General features: G+C 43.7%; 1 protein-coding gene and 1 long non-coding RNA gene across 8 annotated transcripts in view, besides 1 other annotated feature; one reads left to right on the top strand and one right to left on the bottom strand.

Moving 5' to 3' along the window:
* The window catches only part of ESRP1 (epithelial splicing regulatory protein 1), a 66,293-nt gene extending 54,826 nt beyond the window's left edge, over positions 1–11,467 (bottom strand). For all 7 annotated transcript variants that reach the window (NM_017697.4, XM_005250991.4, NM_001122825.2 and 4 more), the window contains exons 1-4: positions 11,191–11,467; positions 10,557–10,685; positions 9,225–9,338; positions 6,359–6,473 (exon numbers count right to left, since the gene is read on the bottom strand). In NM_017697.4, the coding sequence (NP_060167.2) occupies positions 6,359–6,473; positions 9,225–9,338; positions 10,557–10,685; positions 11,191–11,322 (490 nt within the window). In that variant the 5' untranslated portion in view covers positions 11,323–11,467. The remainder of the gene's footprint in view (positions 1–6,358; positions 6,474–9,224; positions 9,339–10,556; positions 10,686–11,190) is intronic.
* Positions 10,040–10,129: an enhancer, noted in NCBI's record as "active region_27633". NCBI's record gives its function as "activates an Ori minimal core promoter by ATAC-STARR-seq in GM12878 lymphoblastoid cells {active_cell/tissue: GM12878}" and the evidence as "EXISTENCE:reporter gene assay evidence [ECO:0000049][PMID:35858748]".
* A 1,706-nt stretch (positions 11,468–13,173) lies between the features above and the next one.
* Positions 13,174–15,356, top strand: LINC02894 (long intergenic non-protein coding RNA 2894). The gene has a single exon (NR_034034.1). It is a non-coding gene; the product is annotated as a long intergenic non-protein coding RNA 2894 (long non-coding RNA).
* Positions 15,357–24,323: the final 8,967 nt, after the last annotated feature.

The following is a 24,323-nucleotide window of genomic DNA, read 5'->3' as shown; positions in this document are numbered from 1 at the left end:
AGGTTAAGAAATCAGGAAGTAATTCCATCCAACATTAGTGGGGAAAAAAATGGGTTTAAAAGAAAATGAATAAAAGAAGCCATTTACACAAATGTCCTTTCAGCAGGAGATAACTAGTATTAATTTCCGTAAGGGATCTAAGATAATTTCAAAAAAAAAAACCACAGAAGCCCCCGTCCCTATCATCTCACACCCTCACCATCCTCACTTGATTAAGTAAAAAGCTTACAACATGCAATCCAGTTTACCTGCTAGATGAGGTCTTCTCAGCTAGCATCACATAATTCAAAAGCAGACAACAATGCAACTGGAATAACTCAAAGGCCTAACACCAACATCAGAAATGTGTTGAGGGCCAGGCGCAGTGGCTCACGCCTGTAATCCCAGCACTTTGAGAAGCCGAGGAGGGCAGATCACCTGAGGTCAGGAGTTCCAGACCAGCCTCGCCAACATGGTGAAACCCCGTACCTACTAAAAATACAAAAATTAGCTGGGCATGGTGGCACATGCCTGTAATCTCACCTACTTGGGAGGCTGAGACAGGAGAATTGCTTGAACCCAGAAGGTGAAGGTTGCAGTGAACCAAGATTGCGCACTGCACTCCAGCATGGGCAAGACAGAAACTCTGTCAAAAAAAAAAAAAAAAAAAAAAAGGCGTTTTAGAACAAATACAAAGACAAAAGAGGGAAAGAAGTGCCAAAAATAAGAACCAGAACTACACTCAATTCCTGGTCAAGTGTGGCGGCTCACGCCTATAAAACCAGAACTTTGGGAGGCTGAGGTGGGTGGATAACCTGAGGTCAGGAGTTCAAGACCAGCCTGTTTAATATGGTTAAATACTACTAAAAATACAAAAATCAGCCAGGCGAGGTGGAGGGCTCCTATAGTCCCAGCTACCTGGGAGGCTGAGGCAGGAAAATCGCTTGATTCTGGGAGGTGGAAGTTGCAGTGAGCCAAGATTGCATCATTGCACTCCAGCCTGGGCAACAGAGTAAGACTCCATCTCAAAAAAAAGAAAAAAAAATTCCTAAACCCTTTTGTCATCAAAATGGTCCTACTTTTTCATTTACATAGCACTTCACTTACAAAGCTTTCATTTTGGAATACTCAAGATTAAAGTTTGGCTCGGTAGACACAAGTAACTCCCAGGAAAGCAAAGCTGCTGTGTAGCAGGGTATACTCAGCTCAGACTTTGTGACTCTACAACTTGGGTTTTAGTGTCCTCTTCCATTAGAAATACACAACATTGGCCTGGCACAGTGGTGCAGGCCTGCAGTCCCAACTACTTGCCTAGGGTGCAGGAGTTTGAGGCCACAGTGAGCCACGATAGCATTACAGCACCAATGCACTCCAGCCTGAGCAAAAGTGAGACTTTGCCCAAAAAAAAAAAAAAAAAAAAAAGACCACACTATAATTTTCTTTCATCTTCCATAAATGCCTTGAAATACTGCATATTATTCAAGTTCCACATACTGTTTTTTTAAATGCAAGGCCTCATTGCTTTCCCTCACCATTCCCCCTGGAAAAAAGTCTGCCTTAAACACAAAAATTGCAGTGAGATATAAAAAATGACACTCTTCCCATATGATCCAGCAGTCACACTCCTTGGTACTTACCAAAATAAATAAAAAACCTAGGCTAGGAGTGGTGGCTCACGCCTATAATCTCAGCACTTTAAGAGGCCAAGGCGGGCGGATCACGAGGTCAGGAGATCGAGACCATCCTGGCTAACATGGTGAAACTCCGTCTCTACTAAAAATACAAAAAATTAGCCATGGGCGGGCGCCTGTAGTCCCAGCTACTCGGGAGGCTGAGGCAGGAGAATGGTGTGAACCTGGAGGCGGTGCTTGCAGTTAGCCAAGATCGCGCCCCTGCACTCCAGCCTGGGCAATACAGCAAGACTCCGTCTCAAAAAAAAATAAAAATGATTTAAAAAACCTATGTCCATATGAAAACCTGCACGTGATGTTTATAACAGCACTATTCATATTTGCAAGAACTTGAGAGCAACCAAGATGTCCTTCAGTAGGCGAATAAACAAACCATGTTTGGATAAACAAACCGTGTATGGATAAACAAACCATACATCCAAACAATGGAATTCAGTGCTAAAAAGGAACTATAAAGCCACAAAAAGACATGGAGTAATCTTAAATGCATATTACCGGCTAAAAAGACAATCTGAAAAGATTACATACTACATGATTCCAACTATATGACCTCCTGGAAAAGCCAAGACTACAGAGACAGTAAAGATTGGTGGTTGTCAGGGGTTAAGGGAGAGGGAGGAATGATTGGCCAAAGTACAGAGGATTCTTAAGGCAATAAAACTATTCTATTAGGGATAAAAGACTTTAAGGTAGCAGGTAAAAAAAAACAAAACAAACAAAAAAATTCTATACTATGCTATTGCTACAATGTATTTTGATACCACAATGGTAGATAGATGTCATTATACGTTTGTCAAAATCCATAGAATGTACAAGACCAAAAGTAAACCCCAATGTAAACTATGAACTTTGGGTAATATTGACATGTCAATGTAGGCTCATCAGGTGTAACAAATGTACCACTCTGGTACAGCACTTTCACAGTGAGGGGGCACGGGGAGAGAAGGAGAGGAAGGGAAGGAGCAGGGAGAGGAAGAGGGAGAGAATAACAAGGGTTCTATAGGAACAATATACTTTCTGCTCAATGGTGCAGCATGTAGACAGTGGGGGAGTGAGTGAGAGTGTGTATGTATGTGTGTAACAAGGGTTATATAGGAACACTATACTTTCTGCCCAATTTTGCTCTAAACCTAAAACTGGTCTAAAAAATAAAGTTGGGGTCGGGTGCAGTGGCTCACGCCTGTAATCCCAGCACTTTGGGAGGCCGAGATGGGTGGATAACTTGAGCTCAAGAGTTGGAGACCAGCCTGGCCAACATGGTGAAACCCCATCTCTACTAATAATACAAAAATTAGCCAGGCATAGTGGCGGGCGCCTGTAATACCAGCTACCTGGGCGGCTGAGGCAGGAGAATCGCTTGAACCCAGGAGGCGAAGGTTGCAGTGAGCCGAGATCACGCCATTTCACTCCAGCCTGGGTAACAGAGGGAGGCTCTGTCTCAAAGAAAGAAATAATAATAATAATAAAAAGTTGAGATTACAGGTATAGCAGATGCACCTGTAATCCAAACTTCTCAAGAGGCTGAGGCAGAATTGCTTGAGTTCAGGAGTCTGAGACCAGGCTGGGTAACATAGCACGACTACATCTCAAAAAAATAAAGCCTACTAATTAAAAAATAAATGAGGCCAGGATATGGTGGCAAACACCTATAATCCCTGCATTTTGGGAGGCCAAGACAGGAGGATGGCTTGAGGCCAGGAGTTTGAGAGAAGCCAGGGCAAAATATGAGGACCCATCTCCAAAATTTGAAAAATAATTTTTTTTTAAATCTCACTCTGTCACCTGGGCTGGAGTATAATGGTATGATCTCGGCTCACTGCCTCTTGGGTTCAAGTGATTCTTCTGCCTCAGCCTACTGAGTAGCTGGGATTACAGATGTGCGTCATCATGCCCGGCTAATTTTTCTATTTTTAGCAGAGACGGGGTTTCGCCATGTTGGCAAGGCTGATCTTGAACTCTTGAACTCAAGTGATCCACCTGCCTCGGCCTCCCAAAGTGCTGGGATTACAGGCATGAGCCACCGTGCCCAGCCAAAAATGGATTTTTGTTAAAAATTTTAAATTTACTTGGATGTAAAGTTAATAAAGCATGTTTCCAAAACACTTAGAATATTGTGACATCACTGAGGGTCCAAATTGATATTTCTGTATCCTCGTTTAAAACAACCAATCAAGGATACAAGTATTTCACGACAAAAAAAATTAAACACTTCAACCTGCACATTCTCTTATCTGCTCTTCTCCAGGTGTTTACAGAAGCCCCTTTCCCTCCCCCACTGGTTTACCAGGTGAAACAGGTAATTCCTCAAGAGCAAATGACCTTCTGTCCACTTGGCAAAACCATCAAGAATGTTTAATGACTACAGATCTCCCAATTCAGCGTCACTTCCATATTGGCAAGGAAAATGTTTAATGCTCTGAAAGAACGGAACAATTCAATTCAGACATTGTAGAAATACTTTGCATAGATGAGCACAAGTTGATATTCAGATTGGACATAATTGCTTTTAGCCTCAGAAATTGGTCTGGTAGCCTAGACAGGGAAATAAGTATTCCTCTGAATAGTAGTCATAAAATAACTCACCACAGCAGCAATATAACATAAAAACCGTTGCTAAGAAAGCTTATTAGCATTTCTAACTTGTTAAATGAGAAAGACATGTACAAGTACGATATTAAATATTAAAACATTTAAGAATAAAATCCACTTTTTTTGAGACAGGGTCTTGCTCTGTTACCCAGGCTGGAGTGTAGTGGCACAATCATAGCTCACTGCAGCCTCGACTTCCTGGGCTCAAGCAATCCTTGCACCTCAGCCTCCTAAGTAGCTAGGACTACAGTCTCATGCAACCACGTCCAGCTAATTTTTTTATTTTTTGTTGACATGGGGTTTCTCTATATTGCCCTGGCACAACAATCCTTAATATACTTCCTTTCCTACTGAAGTTATCTTTTTCGTTTGTTAAAATATTTTTATTTCATTTTACTTTTTGTAGAGATGGGTTCTCGCAATAATGCCCAGGCTGGTGTCAGCACTCCTGGTCTCAACCCATCCTCCCTCCTCAGCCTCCCAAAGTGCTGGTATTACAGACATAAGCCACCATGTCCAGCCAGAAGTTGTCTTTTTCTAAATTAAGATAGCTTATTAGATTTTTCCTCCACTGCCTTCTAATTTTTCAGTAGGTACTCTGGTTCTCTATTTTGTGGAAGACCAACTATCCACATTAAAAAGTTTAATATATACTTAAGAACTGAATTGTGTCCTCCACCTCCCCCAAAGTCCTATGTTGAAGCCCAACCCCCAATGTAACTATCTGGAGAGAGGGTCTTTAGAAGTTAAGTTTAAATGATGGTCAAAGGGTGGAGGGGTCTAATTAGATAGGGCAGTGACCTTGTAAGAAGATAACTCCTCCTGCTATCCCCCCAGAAAAGGTGGCTGGCTACCTGCAAGCCAGGAAGAGCCATCACCAGAACCTGACCATGCTGACACCCTGATCTTGGACATCCCAGCCTCCAGAACTGTGAGAAAGTAAATTTCTTTTGTTTAAGCTCCGTGGTCTATGGTATTTGTTATGGAAGCTTGAGCTGTCTAATACAACATTCAACCCAACAGAAAAACCAGTGAGAATTTTTCTGGTGTACTAACCTTTTTAACAAAATTCTTGTAAGAATTCTGTCACAATGAGCTTATTCCACCCTCTTCCCAACACTACTGGTCATGCTAAGCCAAAATTCCAGCTAACTGACTCCAAGAAGAAGGCAAATGAAAACGGATTTGACCTGTTTACAAGTAGTTATGAAATATATGCGAGCAAACTTCAATCAGGAAAAAAAATCGTGAAGTAACACAAAAACCAGGTTTTAATTCCTGAAAATGAATGAGAAAGTTTGGGAATAAGCATCTACAACCCACAAGCTACTGAAGTTAACTTAGTTTTAACTTCATGATGACTCTCACAGTGGCTTTTGGGAAGCCACTCAAGGTAACAATTACTCAACTTTACATCTGATATATTAGCACACGCCTGCTTATTAGTTAGCATTTGAAAGACTTAATGAATGTAAGATGACGGGTCATTCATGATTATAGATTTGTAATTATAAAATTACTTTTACAATATATCATGCATCAAATATATTATTTTGGTAACTAAAGAATGTGGGGGACAATCCAGACCCCATTTTATCATCTCCAAAGATGGCTTATTATAATCAGCATAATCTTGTATTTGAAAAACTCAGGGGAGGCTAAAAGCGGGACCAGTGAACAGCAGTTTGTAAAGGGGATATATCCACCAATTAAAAAAATTATTGACTTCATTCCAAAGAAGCCAAAATAAACCCTAAAATCACAGTAACCAAGAAAAAGTGGCCTTAGAATCTGCACTAAAGTCTTCATGTTCTTTCTGCAGCACACACACACATTACACAGCTGAAACTGAATCCTATTCTACATGTGATCACCCCACCAAAAAATCCATCTCCAAATCCGTCCAACCATCTGATTAATTATAACCACTTTCAAAGATGTCTATAATTGTATTTTAGTTTCTCAGCAGAGTAAACAAATTTTGGATAGGCCAATTTTATCCATATGCTGACAAAATTTAAAATGTTTGAAAGTTTCTTGAATTACCTTTTCTGGAACTATCTTTTCAAATGATTCTTGAGTAATGATTTAAAGGATACACTCTGTCATTGTGGCAACGTCCAGTTTGTCAATATCAGGTGAACCAGGGCAACATTTCTTGAATTCTTTTCGAAGATCAAAAAAGGAATAGAAGCATTCAGGTAATAGTACATTCTGAGGAAGGACAAGGTAGATAATGTTAACTAGGTGAATTTGGTTCAATGTTTCTCTCACAATTAGGAACCTAAAAATTGAATATAAGCATATTTTACAATGGAAAAATTTAAAATTTAATGTAAAAGTAGATTTATTTTTAAAAGTTGGTCCTGTTTCTATATTAGATCCTATGTACAAGTCTCATGAAAAAAATTCCTCTTGTTTTAAGGCAGTGGATTACAATGTTTGTGCTCCAGTATGCATTCCATTCAAAACAATTCTGAAGCTGTGATACATTTGTGCTGTTATACTTCATATTTTCTGGCTGTTAATACTAATTTTTTCCAGCCATAACCATTTTAGAACATCTGTATTTTCAGGCAGCACTAGCAGCCCTTTCAGTTTTCACACAGGTGTGGGATTAGATTGTAAAACTGGGTAGTTCTAACTATTGGGTTCTAATAATGCATATTTTCAGTAATAAGTGAGATTAGAATAGTAAATTCCTGATTAACTGAAAAGGCTTATTTCTGTGCCAAATAATAGTCCCACATTAGTCTTCTTGAACAATATTGTAGCTGTACCTGTGAACTCAAATTAGACTTCAAACACAAACAAAAACAAACTCACAAATCCCAAAGGCAAAGGAGAAATGGTTACCTGCTGTTCTTAGCTATTAGGACCACTACCGTGGCTACGAAGCAAAGCTCAACTGTCTGGACAAATATTACACTATTGTTTCCTTTGTTTTTTTTTTTCTTAACAAAATAACCCAGCATTGGATAACTTTTAAAGATAATCCTTTTAAAAACTCAATTCAGATTTTTCTTAAAATTTTGAAATTGTGTTAATTTGCTGGGAATTTTTACCCATTTTTACATTAGAACATCAAGGAAATTAAGACTTTTAAATGTTAAATGTTCATGCAAAATATCTCCTCTCCAAGTTCCTTCTATTGGATTTTACTAGATGTGACCTGTTCATGCTGTATTTTGAAATCAGTATTGCTGCATCATGGTCACAGCTTTTAAAAAAGTTAACAACCAAAAGAACCATGAAACCTCCCTATTACCTACAAAAATGCTCATTTAAAAGCTATTTGTAAGGACAATAACTCACATGTTCAACAATAATCAGTTTAAATTGTTGTGTCCATTTAAAATACTGAGTATTTTATTTAGTGGTTATAACAATGTTGATGTTCTATTAAATAATGTAGGCTAAAAGGCTTACGCCGTATGAATGCTCTTTGTAAATAATGCTTGTCTACAGAAATCTAGAAGAATATATCCAAATACATTCATGTTAGAGAAAAACATTTTAATATATTGAGTGGCAGGATTATTTCATGTTTTGCCATTTTCCCTTTTCTTTAACGAATATACAGAATTACTTTCACTATAACATTAATTGTTTTAGTTTCTGTATTTAATCAAAATTCTAATAGCTGTGGCTGAGGAAAAAGTCTTAATTTTTCTCCAGATGTTTTCCTACACCCAAAGCACTCCACCTAAATAATGAAAACAGCTATTTTCCTCTGGCCCAACAGGGAAAAGATTAAGTCTTGTCCTTCCGTCATGTGAGTTTGGGAGTAAAAAAGTAATCCTTACATATTACTATTTCTGGTAAGGATGTAGCGACTAGTCTAGCATTTAATTTTTTAAAAAAATTCTTCCCCTTTTGTCAAATAATTACTAAGACTCGTATAAAAGGAATGATTTTCTGAAGACATAACAACTTGAGTTACTCCTTCAAACTTTTTGAATTGTCATAATATATTAAACGAAATAAAATCTGCACTTACTTGCCTGGGTCGTCATTTGTCAGTCTACATCTTTCATTGCAAGCCTTGCCTTATACAGGTACCTAAATATATTCTACTTCCATCTTTTCAAGCTCGGTGCCTGCCTACCACAATAAAAAGTTACAGCTCAAACTAATTTAAGTTGTTAAGAGACAGTGTATTAACAATGATTGGCTACACTGGGTGGGTTGTCTCTGCTGTTCCTTTTCCCACAGCCCCTCAGTATTTATCCCAGGGAGAGAAATCACATTTTACCTATAGTAAGACTGTATTTCTCTCACTCTGTAATCCTCTCTCTGTCAGAAAAATGAGCAAAGGTAAAAGATGAGGCTGACCCTTTTGTTTTGATGCAAGAATGTTTTGAACATTGACTTAAAATCAGACAAAGTGAAGAGTGCTACGATTGTGGTTTCACTAGATATAAGGTTATCTTATTTAAGTAGCCTTTTTAATGAAATGATTAGAAATACAACTTTAAATGTTTAATTCTTTTTTCCTTCCTTTCTAGGATATAGCATTTCCAACACAAATGAGGATATTATGACATACTAAAGAATAGTTCTTTCCTCTCTTTGTAGTTATTTTAAATGTCAAAAATTCACACTCTGTATTAGCTTCGGAAAAGGGAAGTGTCATGCATCTTGAAAATTGGACGTAAACAAAGAGACTATTTTAAGTCACCAAAGAGTATCTTTGTATATACATAACACCAAATTTACCATTTTAATAATTTTTAAGAGTATGGTTCAGTAAAACATTAAGTACATTAACATATTTTGCAACCATAAACACCATCCATTTCCAGAGCTTTTTCATCTTCCCAAACTGAAATTCTGTACTCATTAAATAACTCCCTATATGCATCTTTTTAAGAACAGAGAAACTTGAATAAACCAAAAATTTTTAAAAACCTCCAGTCACCCCAAAGCTCCAACCATTTTTTTCCCAGAAGCCAGCACTCTTACCTTCTTGGAAGCCTCAGGATGCAGGATTTGCCTGACATGAAGCTGCCCATCAGTACAGAGACAGAAGGAAGTCCCTACTCCAATATTCAGTTCATTGCTCACTGACTGGTTAAACTGCAAGAACAAGATACACATAGGGATGCAACTGATGCACGATTTACAAACTCTGCAAAGTAGCTCCCCTTGGTGATAGCCAGAGAAAACCGCAATAAGGGCCCTGATGGGTGACACCGGTGCTGGGGCAACCTTGGACAGACTCCTTTCCCACGAACCGTCTAGCTTCCTCGAGGTAGGGAAGCTTTCCAATCAATCCGCAGTTCGCGCCCAGGAGAAACTTGTCAATGCATTCTCCCTTCTGTTTTTACAAAAAAAATTCATTCAAGACTTAAGTCAGATGTCTCATTTCATCAGCAGGTTGCCTGCAGATTACATCATTCCCTAGTGTTACTTTTTATATGTTTGGATGTGCCAGGCTTAAGAAAGATGCCAGCTTCTAATAAACAAATACGGGTATTGGGTATACAGATCTGGAAAGTCTTGGATGAATACACCCCAGGAAGGATAGCTTTCTCCTATAACTCGAAGCTCGTGTGCTAGGGCAGAGGTCGTGAGAACGCAGAGCATTCATCTGTGCACAGGTGTTTAGCGCCCCGCCCTACCCGATCCGGCACCCGTCAGCACCCCGGAACAGCCGGTTTTTAGGTCACCTCAGTCCTAATAAGGGGATTCCATCAGTTCCGCAGTGACACAACGGGCAGCCTTGCACGTTCGGACCTGAAAAACCTCCCTGGCAGTGGGACCAAGGCCACTAAAGAAATAATGACGGACCGAGCCTTTCGTTGGGAGTTCAGAAGCCTGAAACCAGGCAGGCACCTTCAGGTTCCAACCCACAGTGCTACTTCTTGCACACCCGCCGGGCCCACCTGCACGTCTACGCCACAGCGCCCCCTGCCCGAAGGCTGTGGGCCCAAACCCCGCAGGGGAGCGGCGCGTCTGGGGTCTGGACCTGGAGATGGGGGCGCTAGGATTCAAACTCCGCACGTCAATCAATTGGCAAAATGGAGCTGACTCTCCGGCTCCAGTAACTACTCAGGAAGCAACTCGAAAACTAGTGAATGTCGGTCCCAAACCCTGGGGGCTGGGAGATGAAGAGAAGCAGCGACCCCCGCCCAAACGGTGCGCCCCGGCCCTCAGGCTGGGCTCCCACCCACGCGGCCGGGCAGGCGTCTCGCCACCCTGCTCCGGGAACACGCGTGGGCCGCCCTGAGAGGGCGTAGGGTGCGGTGGGGTTGGGCCCAGGCTGGGGTGGGTGGCGTGACCCGGGGTTGTCACCTGTCGGAGGGCTTGGTCCAGCTGCGACGCCGAGGACAGGCTTTCGACGTCTATTTTAGTTTCTTCTTTGCAGTCCTCCGTCAGTTCCAACTGATCCGGTCTAACTAGCACTTCGTGCAACTGTCCCACCTCCGAAGGTAGAGAAGCACGGGTCAGTTTCCCCCAATTTCGGAGCCTCTTTCTGCACCCTCCTCCCTCGCTCCCCTGCTGGGGCGGCCCGCGCCTCTCTTGGGGTCCGGACGCAGAATCAAAGCTCTCGACTCGCCATCGGTTCCGGTGCGTTCCTGCCCCCCGCCCCACCCCCCACCCGATAGGTCGGAAAAGCCCTGGAAGTGGACCCCGGGGCCTCCGAGACCCCACCTCGTCTCGGCGGAGCGTCCCCCGACGGGCAAAGAACCCGGCTCGGTAGCGCCGGCCTCTCCACCTGAGCTAAGTTGCGGAGGACTGAAATGGCTCCAAGGCAGTTGGCCAATAAGTTTGGTTTTACTCTAGCTTCCCTAGGCCTCGGGTCCAGACTCACAAGTGGGCAAACAAGAGCACTTATTTACTTACCTCCACCCCCCTCCCCGCCCAAACCTCTACCACAAACTTCTTGCCCCATTCCTTGCATTTAGACGAAAATGTGGAGAAATACCTTCTTGTTGGCCAGATCCACGACTTTCCAGAACAGCAGGATCAACTCCTTCTCATCCGAGCCTAGCTTGGCCCCGGTGGCCCCAGCAGTGATCCCAAAAAGCACCACCAAGTAATCCGGAGAGGCCGTCATGACGATAGGTGGGGAGGGGGAGAGGGGGGGTCGGGAGGCGGTAAGGTGGTGTGGAAGTGAGAACGAAAAAACCTGTGCTAAACCCTCTTCTAAGAGAAAAAGAAAGAGCGCCCACCCCCCTTCCTTGCTACTGCTAGTGCAAAAGGCGGTAACCAACCACCCAAGCCCACACCTGGTCGGTGCTCCACGCCCAGGGCAGGAAGGGGGGTGGGAAGGAGGGCGCAGGAGGCCTGCCCTTTTTGTATTCAGTTGCCCGGGCGTCTATGCAAAAAGCCTGGAGCAAGGCTGCCCCCCCCGGGAGGCACGCAATGGCTGAAAGCTTTTCTGTTTTGGGATGTGGCTTTACCTGCCCGCCCCTTCCCCCTCCCCCACGTGGTGCAGGTAAGAGACACCTGGCGGCGCCGGCCCATTGGCTCCTTCAAACCACGACGTGGCAGCGGTGGGGGAGGAGGCCGCTTCGGGAGGGGGAGGAAGGGGCGGGAGACAATGGCTGGATGAATGGAGAGGCGAGGGCAGGGGAGGAGGAGGGGGAGACGTGAGGGGCAGGGAAGAGGCGGTTGACACCCAGAGGGTAGACGAGGCCAGACGGGGAAAGGGCTCAGAGAGGTAAAGGGCTCGGAGTCGCTGGGGGGAGGGGTTCCCACTGGAGGTAACTGAGAGGTGCAGGGGGGCTCGGAGAATACCGGCTGCAGGGAACGAAGCCGAAGGTTCTGAACGGTCAAGCGAAAAGGCCAGGTGCAGGGAGGCGAAAGGAGGCCAGAGGTGAGGCCCGGGGCGCGGAGCTGCCCAGGGCGCGGCGCAGGCGGAGGACGAACTGCTGAGGGAGGGACCTGCCAACCGCAGCCAGGAGGTGGCGGGGGCAACTGCAGATCCCCGGAAAAGCAGCTCCTGAGCCAACACAACTTTCAGTGCAAACAGCAGGAGAAATCCTGCGAGCCCCCCCTTCTCCGGGCCGGAGCCCGGGTGCACGCTCGTCCCAAACCCGCCGCGCTGCCCACCTTCCGGAGAGGAACCCCGCGCGCGGCAGAGCCGGACGCCAGGGGCTGGACGCCCAACCACCTAGTCACTCCCCAGGACGCAGTTATCGCGCGCAAAGCAGCTGGGGGACCCCGCAAGGAAACTCAGGCACAATGGAGCCCGCTTCTTTTTCTGTCAACTCTGAATGCTATGTCTGGTTTGGTCCTGGCTGCTAGTTCGAAGCTGGAACATCCTCCAGAGCTGGGGCCCATTTCCTTTTATTTGCCTTGGGCCCCAAATGAAAAGCATCTATCCGCATGCCTAATAAAAATTTTCTTAAATCGGGCCACGCAGGCTTTTTCCCAGGTTCTGCGCCCTGACCCCATTCCCTCTGCTCATGCTTTTGGCATTGTATTGGAGTGTGTTGACTTGACCAAGCTCCCAAACAACCTCCCTGCTCCACCTCAGCTTGGTCTGCCCAGAGGCTCGTACCCCAACCATCACCCCCCAGCCACCAGATCGGTGGCAGTATGTTGTTGGGTCTTGTTGACATTTTAGAGAGAAAAGCGCCAGAGGTGAAGTTTTCTCGGGTTTTATATCTCAAAGCGATTTGTTCTTGGGAACAGAATTCTGTCTGAAGTATTAATAATTCGGCTCTAGGTGTCCAGCCCCGTTCATATTCATGATGTGAAACGGGCAACCATGCACCTATCCCTGCAGAACCCACTCCGGGTACAAATCCGGTAACCTTTCAAGACGCGTGTCAAGGGAAGCTGGAGACCTGGCTTTCCCAGTGGGGGTTCAGCTCCCGGGAGGGGGGAGAGGAGCCCGAGGCCCGCGCCGTCTCGTTTCCTGGTAGGAGAAGGTGCAGGCGGAGGCGGGGCCTCCCGTGATACAGGTGGCAGCTCTCGTCCCCTGAGAGCGGGCGAAGGCCAGGGTCCCACACTCGCAGCGCTGCGACGGCGCTCGGGACCTCCCTCGTCCACTGCTTGAGTTCCAGAGGTGGGTGCTTCCCTGTCCTGAACTTCAGAGTGCGGAGTCATAAATGGGTTCCGGCTGGCTTACTGCAGTAGCCTCGCTCCTCCCCAGCCCCGGTAACTCCGAGCTACCCGTCCAGGCCCTCGGGCGTCGCGGGGGCAGGGACTGGGCGCGGAACGAGGCAGGGAGGGACCTGGAAAAACCACCCAGATTGCATTGCAGTGGGCGAGGCCGCCTGGAGGAGCCGGTTCCCCCTAACCACCTCCCCGTGGGGCTCTCGGTGCGCGGTTCCCAGGTGCTCAGCTCTGCTGGGCCCAGGAGGTGCCGCCTCACAGGGACGCGGAACCCCGTGCGTGGCCCCCGCCGGGTGGAACAGATAGCGCGGGGCGGTCCGGAGGCTCGTCGCCAAGCAGGTGACTCTTGCTGAAAAAGTGGTTGGAACACTTGAGGAAACCCGGCCCCGCCTGTTCTTTCTAGGTCTTTGGAGTTTGGATTAATCATTTGTGTAGCCCGTTTGGATAAACCGAAGACTTTATTAAATCAGCGCGTTTAACAGGAATTCCGCAGTAGTATCCACATTAGAATCTTGAGTCTTGGAGTTGAACATATTCACACAGACTTGCCTTCTTCCTGTTTAGTTTATGCCTTGTGTTCCGTTATTGGAACGCTAAGCTTGTGGGAGTTGTTTACATCCTACTGCTCAAGGTCATCGCTAAGGTGTGATTTTTCACAAAAAGAATTTGCAACCTCCGGCATGAATGACTTAAGGGAAGTCTAATCCCGGTTTCTGATTTTTTTTTTTTTTTTAATTTAAAAGTTAATCTTTCTGGGCCGGGCGCGGTGGCTCACGCCTGTAATCCCAGCACTTTGGGAGGCCGAGGCGGATCACGAGGTCAGGAGTTCGAGACCAGCCTGACCAACATGGTGAAACCCCGTCTCTACTAAAAACACAAAAATTAGCCGGGCGGGGTGGCGCGCACCTGTAATCCCAGCTGCTCGGGAGGCTGAGGCAGGAGAATCGCTTGAACCTGGGAGGCGGGGGGTTGCAGTGAGCCGAGATCTGGCCATTGCACTCCAGCGTGGGCAACAGAGTGAGACTCCATCTCAAAAAAAAAGGTTAATCTTTCCAACTAGATTTTCAAGGATGAGGATTTTGTTGTTGTTGTTGTTGTTGTTCTCAAATGTATTCCCAGGGCTTGGAACAGAGCCTGACATATACTAGGCACTCAACAAATATTTGTTGAATGATTGTAATGAGTAACACCCATTTTTGCAGATCTTTGTCTTCTGAGCCTAGGGCATAGGTCATCACTGCAGGGGTGAGATTGTCAAAATGGGAGTCTACAGGTAATTTAAGACTTAAATGTTTAAAGAGTATGTGCTCATTCTTCAACAAACTTACTTTTGTTAAATTAAAATGGTAAAATGTGGTGGAGGGGTTGGAATATATGTAATTCAAGACAGTTCTGAATACAAAAATGTTTTACTGTCTATCACCACCATCTATAAATCTAATTCACTAAGGATAATCTGTGTAAGGTGGCTGGAAAGAACCTTGAGGAGAGAGGCTTATTTAAGTATTGGCTCAGGACCACACCTAAAATTCTCAAAACGTTGAGATTCTGTTGTTTTGTTTTTAAGCGCCAGAGACCCAAGTTGAGGAACAGCCTATAAAATAACTGGCCTGTACTCTTACATACATGAAAGCCATCAAAGACAAAGACTGAAGAAGAACTTTTGCAGATTAAAGGACTTTAAGAGACATGATCCTGAACCAGAAAAAGTAAAAAATAAAAAAATAAAAAGATCTGTAGATTAGATAATAGTTTTATATCCATGTTAATTTCCCATTTGTTGTAATATTACTGTGGTTGGGCAAGAGAGTGTCTTTGTTGGTGGAAGTATCTACTGAAGTATTTAGGGGTAAAGAGGAATCATGTCTGTAACTTATGCTCAAAAGGTTCAGACAAAATATATGTAAAGGGAATGATAAAGCAAACGCAATAAAATGTTAACATTGGGGAATCTGTATAAGGGAATTATTAACTTTTCTGTAAGTCTAAAATTATTTCAAATTAAAAATAATTTTTTTAAGCCTCAGAGGACATTTTGCTGCCACCGCCTTGCTGGTGGTTGACAAGGCTCTGTGTCATGACTTTTTTTTCTGCTAATCTAACTACTTGTACTGTAAAATAAACCCATTTTCTTTGTTTTTTCCTTAGTGAATGAAAGAGGGTGAAAGAAAAGGTCACCATTTTCTGTATAGTAATCCGTTCATATACTTTAAGGTCGTTCTTAACTCACCTTTCCTAGACTAAATAACTGCAAACTCTTTAAAGTTTTCATTGTGAATCTTACTTTCCTGCTCTTTAATTATCTTCATTACCCTCCTTTGACCCTTTTTCTCATCACTTTTAGAGAGCAGCTCTTGAACTGGACAGAATACAAATGTGTCTGCTGGGGCTTCACTGTTGACACAGTGGTACCTATATGTCATAATCTTTTTTTATTTTTTTGAGATTCAATTATTTTTATTCCAGAGATATAAGTAAAAATGTAAGGCCGGGCATGGTGGCTCACACCTGTAATCCCAGCACTTTGGGAGGCCAAGGCGGGCAGATCACCTGAGGTCAAGAGTTTGAGACCAGCCTGGCCAACATGGTGAAACCTCGTCTCTACTAAAAATACAAAAAAAATCAGCTGGGCATGGTGGTGCACTCCTGTAGTCCCAGCTACTCGGGGAGGCTGAGGCAGGAGAATCACTTGAACCCAGGAAGCAGAGGTTGCAGTGAGCCAAGATTGTGCCACTGCACTCCAGCCTGGGCAACAAAGGGAGACTCCATCTCCAAAAAAAAAAAGGTAGGCCGGGTGTGGTGGCTCACGCCTGTAATCCCAACACTTTGGGAGGCCAAGGTGGTTGGATCACGAGGTCAAGAGATCGAAACCATCCTGGCCAACGTGGTGAAACCCCGTCTCTACTAAAAACACAAAAAATAGCCGGGCATGGTGGCGCACACCTGTAGTCCCAGCTACTCGGGTGGCTGAGGCAGGAAAATTGCTTGAATCCGGGAGGCAGAGGTTGCAGTGAGCCAAGATGGCGCCACTGCACTCCAGCCTGGCGACAGGCGGAGACTCCATCTCAAAAAAAGAAAAAAAAAGTGAACAGATATATTGACATAAAATTCATAAAACATATGGGTATATTAAAAACTGGAAACTCAGGTTGCCTTTGAGGATAAGAACTGAGGGCCTATGTGTCAAGAATACTTTGCAGTTAGGCCGTGCGCGGTGGCTCACGCCTGTAATCCCAGCACTTGGGGACTCTGAGGCAGGCGGATCACGAGGTCAGATTGAGACCATCCTGGCTAACACAGTGAAACCCCATCTCTACTAAAAATACAAAAAATTAGCCGGGTGTGGTGGTGGGCACCTGTAGTCCCAGCTACTCCCGCGGCTGAGGTAGGAGAATGGCATGAACCTGGGAGGCGGAGCTTGCAGTGAGCCAAGACCGCACCACTGCACTCCAGCCTGGGCAACGGAGCAAGACTCCGTCTCAAAAAAAAAAAAAAAAAAAAAAAAAAAAAGAATACTTTGCATAGTTTATAGTTTATACTATTGTGGTATTTGAATTTTTTTCCTTGTACATGTATAACTTTTTAAAAAGAATGAGAAATGCCGTATAAGTGCAACTATTTTTACTATAAATCTTTATTTCCATAAAATTATAAGTTAAGTGTGTGGTCAATAGCTCCTATTATATAGCTATGATATCTTTTGAATTTGTTTACCTGGTAACACTAGCTCATGTCTGTAAATCCTCTGGAACTCCCAAAATGATTTTACATACATCACCTAATTTGTAAGATTACATTAGCTTTTCTGGTTTTCTTGTCTTACTATGTGATTATCATATTGAACTGCAGTGTTTTTTTTTTCCCATCATGTCAACACACACAAAATAGGAAACCAGTAGTTGTAATTTTCTTCAGCAGTTCTTAATGGAATTTATTTAATAGTTTAGCACTTTTCTTTCTTAAGTATTGGACCAAGCTGTAATGGAATTATAAGACTCATGCTTTCAAAACAGAGCCTTCTGTTACTCATGTGTTTATCCTGATGGCCATATGACCACGCAAAGCTCCATCACGATATATGTCATAATCTTATTACTTGCAGTGCAGTTCCCCTTTTAAGACTACGTAACAGCACTACATTTACTGACTCAAGGTTCATTTGAGATCTCTAGATCTTTCTTTCTTTTTTTTTTTTTTTTTGAGACAGAGTTTCATTCTTGTTGCCCAGGCTGGAGTGCAATGGCACAATCACGGCTCACCACAACCTCCGCCTCCCGGATTCAAGCGATTCTCCTGCCTCAGCCCCCCAGTAGCTGGGATTACAGGCATGCGCCACCATGGCCCGCTAATTTTGTATTTTTAGTAGAGACGGAGTTTCTCTGTGTTGGTCAGGCTGGTCTCGAACTCCCAACCTCAGGTGATCCGCCTGCCTTGGCCTCCCAAAGTGCTGGGATTACAGGCGTGAGCCACCGCGCTCAGCCCTCTAGATCTTTGTTAGTGTTTTAATTGCACATACTTAGTTATTCTCTTGTACTTATAAGAAAATCTAAGCTGGGCGTGGTGGCTCACGCCTGTAATCCTAGCACTTTGGGACACTGAGGTGGGCAGATCACTTGAGTTCAGGAGTTGGAGACCAGCCTGGCCAACATGGTGAAACCCCGTCTTTACTAAAACACAAAAATTAGACGGGCATGGTTGCAGACACCTGTAATTCCAGCTACTCAGGAGGCTGAGGCATGAGAATCACTTGAACCTGGGAGGCAGAGGTTGCAGCGAGTTGAGATGGGGCCACTGCACTCCAGCCTGGGCAACAGAGCAAGACTTCATCTCAAAAAACAAAACAAAATCTTCTACAGTGAATCAAAGTATGAAAATATTCTCAAATTATATAGCGGCAATGCTTGCACAAATCTTTTTATGTACTAAAAACCACTGAATTATATACTTTAAAAGGGTGAATATTATGGTATGTGAGAATTATATTTCAATTTTTAAAAAAGCAAATCAAAGTAGAAACCTGTGTTCTGAGGCTACCAAAAGCCACTGATACTCTTAGTTATTCATACTAGATGCATTTGTAAAAGACACCACATTTTATACTCCCTGGACATGTCTAGCCTCTGAAGTGGAGAGGCAAGGAGAAGTGATGATCAAGATAAATATATAAATTATAATTATCCATTACTCTGTGCATTACACATTTAAAGAAATTACTGGCCTGAACCTTTATTATAGCGATTATTACAGATCATGAGGAAAAGTATGGGTTTAATAGTTGGCTCTGCCATTTGCTACCTTGTGGCCTTGGGCATGTTCCTTAACCTCACAAGAACTCAGTTTTACCTGTAAAAATGGGGACTTTGATGATGTACACTTCATAGGTTTTAAGGAGAGAGATTTTTGCGTACAAAAGCTTCCTAAGGAAAACAAACCTGAGAACCAGGAAGGTTACTACTGAAGAGGAATCTCCAAGTGAGGGGGGTTCTTTCCAGACAACCACAAAGGCTGATGATTCTCTGGCCTTAGCGTAGACAAAAGACACCATTGAGGCATTTGAGCAAGACTTTACTGACTGCTATGTCATAGGAAAATACACAGAAAAATACAGATAGGGAAATGCGCCATTAATCTGCACAGCATGGCTTATAAGATCCCCCTGATCCTTGGGGATCACAAAACTGATCCCATTTAACTGGGCATCCAGGTAAAAAGAGATGCCACCAAGAGAATTCCTCCCTCCTTACTGCTGGCCTTTTGCCATCAAGGTATCAATTACCCCTGTCCCTGAGCCCCTTGCCCAGGAGTAAGTCCCTGTCTCTTCCAAAGCCCAAAGAGAGGAAAGCACAGCAGCACGCCTTATCTTTTAAGTCAAGGTGGGGTTGACAAGGGTGAATGTTTAAAGAAGGAAAGGAAGTTTTGTTTCTCTTCTTTCCTAAGGCCCTATGCATCCCTGTAGCCTGCCTACTCACCTATCCATTTGGCTGATAAAGGGCCAATTTTATTATTCTGGCAAAATGTAACCTAAAAACCAGGAAATAGTTGTCGCCCTGTTTTATGTCTGTTTGAAGTGTGTGAAATGGCCAGGTGTGGTGGCTCATGCCTGTAATCTCAGCACTTTGGGAGGCCAAGGCGGGCGGATCACCTGAGGTCAGTTCAAGACCAGCCTGGCCAACATGGTGAAACCCCGTCTCTACTAAAAATACAAAAATTAGCTGGGTGTGGTGCACGCCTGTAGTCCCAGCTACTCAGGAGGCTGAGGCAGGAGAATGGCGTGAACCCAGGAGGTGGAGCTTGCAGTGAGCCGAGATTGTGCCACTGCACTCCAGTCTGGGCGACAGAGCGAGACTCCATCTCAAAAAAAAAAAAAAAAAAAAAAAAGAAGTTGAATCTCTTCCTCACACCACACAGAAAAACGAATTTAAAATAAATGTCCATTACACACCAGACTATTGATAAAATAAAAATAAAAAATAAATAAAATGATGGACCAAAATGTAAGAGTTAAATCTATAAAATGGGAAAAATGGAGTACATCTTCATGATTTTGTATTAGGCAATGGCTTCTTAAATATGACTCCAGAAGAACAAGCAACAAAAGAAAAAAAGGATGAATTGAAATTCATCAAAATTAAAAGCTTTAGTACATCAAAGGACATGATCAGGAAAATGAAAAGACACCCCACAGAATGGGAGAAAATATTTGTAAATCATATATCCGATAAGGGTCTAGTATCCAGAATATACAGATTTTTTCTTTTTCTTTTTTTTTTTTTTTTTGAGATGGAGTTTCCCTCTTGTTGCCAGGCTGGAATGCAATGGCACGATCTCAGCTCACCGCAACCTCCACCTCCTGGGTTCAAGCGATTCTCCTGCCTCAGCCTCCCGAGTAGGTGGAATTACAGATATGTGCCACCATGCCTGGTTAATTTTGTATTTTTAGTAGAGATGGTGTTTCTCCATGTTGGTCAGGCTGGTCTCGAACTCCCGACCTCAGGTTATCCACCCACCTTGGCCTCCCAAAGTGCTGAGATTACAGGCATGAGCCACCACGCCTGGGCCAAAAAAAATTTATAACTAAAAAATGAAAGTTCTACTTGCTGTAGCTCTTGGGGGAAAAGAAAAACAAAAGACAAATCACCCAGTCAAAAAATGGGCAAAATATTTGAATGGACATTTCTTTAAGAAATGTACACCAGTCACAGTGGCTCACACCTATAATCCCAGCACTTTGGGAGGCCGAGGTGGGTAGCTTACTTGAGTCCAGGAGTTTGGACCAGCCTGGGCAACATGGCGAAACCCATCTCTACAAAAATTAGTGAGTGTGGTGGTGCTCAGCTGTGGTCCCAGCTACTCAGGCGGCTGAGGTGGGAGGATGGCTTCAGGAGGTCGAGGCTGCAGTAGGCTGAGATGGCCCCACTGCACTCCAGCCAGGGCAACAGTGTGAGACCCTGTCTCAAACAAACATATATATATATACACACATACACAAATGGATAAGTACATGAAAAAATGTCCACTAGGAAATACCATTTTTATCTACACTAAACTGGCTAAAAATAAAAAGGCAGACCCAAGTGTTGACAATATATGGAGAAATTGGAACCCTGATTCATTGTTGGGGGGATTGTAAAATGGTACAGTCACTTTGGGAATAGCCTGACAGTTCCTCAAAAGGTTAAACAAAGAATTACAATATGGCTCAGCAATTCCAGTCCTAGTATATACCCAAGAAATGTGAAGCCATATGTCCATGGAAAACCTTATACACAAATGTTCACAGCAGTATTATTCATAATAGCCAGAAAGGAGAGGATCGCTTGAGCACAGGAGGTGGAGGTTGCAGTGAGCCAAGATGGCGGCACTGCACTCCAGCCTGGGTGACAGAGTGAGACCCTGTCTCAAAAAAAAAAAATTAGCCAGAAAGTAGAAGCAATCCAATTGTCCATCAACTGATGAAAGGCTAAACAAAATGTAGCACATCTTCTCTAGAAAAAAAAAATTAGTCATTTATCTATAAAAGGATAAAGAAGTACTGATACATGCTACAATCTGGATTAATCTTGAAAACTTTATGCTTAGTGAAAGAAACGAGTCACAAAGGCCACATGTCATATAATTCAATTTATATGAAATGTCCAAAATAGGCAAATTCGTAGTGACTGAAAGTAGATTAATGGTTGCCAGGGGCTGGAAGCAAAGGAAGAATGGGGAATTTCTTCTAATGAATACAGGGTTTCTTTTGGGGTGATGAAATGTTCTAAAATGACAGTGATGTTGAGTTTACAACTCTGATACACTAAAAACCACTGAGGTGTAAAAGGATGAATTTTATGGTGTGTGAATAATATGTCAATAAAGCTGTTATAAAAAAGAACTTATCATATAGCATTAAAATTATGTCTTCATATGTATTTCTTCCTCTTACTAGAATTAGACTACATGGTAGGCAGCAAATACTAACAAGAAAGAAATTAAGAGACAAAAAAAGAATAAAAATGACAGAAGAAAAAAATCAAACTAAAACAAAACAAAAAAATAGAATTAGACTATGAGCTTTCTTCATCCTTACACATGGTTAGATACTCAACGAACACAATAAATACTTGATGATCCAGTAATTAATTCATTGATCTAATCTTTGAAAGAAGTTTAAGACATTAACAGGCAGTTGGAAGGGAAGATTATTCTCTGCAAAGGCAGTGGCTGAGCACAGAGAAGGAAGGGCAGTAGGCTTGAGCAGCCAGCAGTTCTTGATTGGCTAGGAGAAGCAGGGAAGGAAGCAGTACAGATAAGGGTGTTAAGGGCTGTACTACCTACTAAATTTGCTCCATATTTAATTGTTGTTAAATATTGTTAATTCATAGTGCTTGGCTGACTAAAAATATTTTCAGAGAAAATGACGATTCAGTCTCTTTCCCCTGCACTTTTTCTTGTCTCCTTAGTGTAATCAAAAGCTACAAGTGAGGCTGGGTGTGGTGGCTAACACCTATAATCCCAGCACTTTGGGAGGCCGAGGCAGGCGGATCACTTGAGGTCAGGAGTTTGAGAGCAGCTTGGCCAACATGGAGAAACCTCATCTCTACTAAAAATATGAAAATTAGACGAGGTGGTGGCGTGCGCCTGTAGTCTCAGCTGCTTGGGAGGCTGAGGCAGGAGAATCACTTGAACCCGGGAGGCGGAGGTTGCAGGGAGCCAAGACTGTGCCACTGCACTCCAACCTGGGCAACAGAGCGAGACTCCATCTCAAAAAAAAAAAAGCTACAAGTGAGATTGTGCCAATTGGAACAAAACAAGAAGTAAAAGTTTCATCTCTGATGGGCTCTGGCCAGCGCTGCCCCCCGGGCCTTCTGCTCTAGAAGCCCATGGTGATCCTCATGTGCCATTCACCTGGCTACTTGGCCCTAATTTCACACAGTTCGAAGCCAGAAACCTGCTGTTTGAGCCTACCTTCCCAGAGTCCTTCCTTCTTTCATGAATTGAACAAACATTCATTGAACACCTGCTTTTTGCCAGAGATTATGTGAGGCATGGGATATGGCAGCAAATAAGTCAACTTTGCTGTCAATATATGTCATAGTAGTCATTGTTGAGTTGAGGCATTTCTATTTGGCTATTAGTAGCATTGGTTTAGAAAGAGCCTCAAAACCCTCTCTAGTGGACTTCTTGTGAGAACACTACCTTATATTTGAATAGAACTATTCAAGGATTTCACATGCAATATTCCATTTGATACTAAAATCTATTTTAAAAAAAGAAGAGAGGGCAGGTATTGTCTTCATTTTGCAGATGAGGCCAATGAGATTCGGATAGGTTAAATGATTCCTTCGAGTTCACACAGCTAGTAAACAGCGAAGCCTGCTTGGGAACCCAGCTGCGACTTCTAATTGGTTGCTTTTCCCGTTACCCCTTATGGAGACCAGAAGATCCAGCTTCTTAGGAGGCAGCTGCCTCTGTCTGTGTGTAAACAATAAGGCAGCAAAAGACTGTTGGGTTTGCTCTTTTTAAATTTTTAATAAACCATCACTGTGTTTATTATCAATTTAATAAACAAGCAACCATCAAGAAGCAAAGTAATGAACCCAGCAGATAGGGACATTGTGAAAATATGTTTCTATGAGACTTGTAAGTGCACAGTTAGTGAGAACAGAAATCAAATTTTTAGCAAAAGATGTAGTTCCTGACTGGTGGGGGCCACCCAGAACTCTCTCCTGGAGATCCTTCTCATTTACCTCAGCTGTGAGCCTCTGTGTGAATGATTTCCAAATTCAGTTCAACAGGTGTTGAATCAATGACCTACAGAATGTCCCACGCACTCAGAATATAAACAAGAATGAAGCTCACCTCAGGTTTCAGAGCTCCCAGGCTGCATTAGGAAAACAAATAATTAAAATACAATGTGTGCTGCTTAAGCACAGGAGTTTGAGATCAACCTGGGCAACATAGGGAGAAACCGTCTCTACAAAAAATAAGAAATTAGCCAGGTGTGGTAGAGAACGCCTGCGGGGGCTAACGTGGGAGGATGGCTTGAGCCCAGGAGAGGTCGGGAGAGGTCGAGACTGTAGTGAGCCATATTGGTGCCAGTGCACCCTAGCCTGGCTGAGAGAGCAAGAACCCATCTCAAAAACAAAACAAAACAAAACACCCCCCCCAAAAAAACCCACCACACACACAACAAAATAAAACCAATGTGGGCATGGTGGCTCAAGCCTGTAATCCTAGCACTTTGGGAGGCCAAGGTGGGTGGATTACTTGAGCCCTGGTATTTGAGACCAGCTTGGGCAACATGGTGAGACCCTGTCTTGACAAAAAATAAAAAATTAGCCAGGCCTGGTGGCGCATGCCTGTACTCCCAGATACTTCGGAGGCTGAAGTGGGAGGATCACTTGAGCCCATGAGGTTGAGGCTGCAGTGAGCCATGATCATGTCACTGCACCCCAGCCTGGGCAACAGAGTGAGACCCTGTCTCAAACAAAACAAAACAAACAAAAAACA

The sequence above is a fragment of the Homo sapiens genome, chromosome 8, assembly GCF_000001405.40.
Source record: "Homo sapiens chromosome 8, GRCh38.p14 Primary Assembly".
Classification (NCBI taxonomy): domain Eukaryota; kingdom Metazoa; phylum Chordata; class Mammalia; order Primates; family Hominidae; genus Homo; species Homo sapiens.
This window is presented reverse-complemented; position numbering and strand designations above follow the sequence as displayed.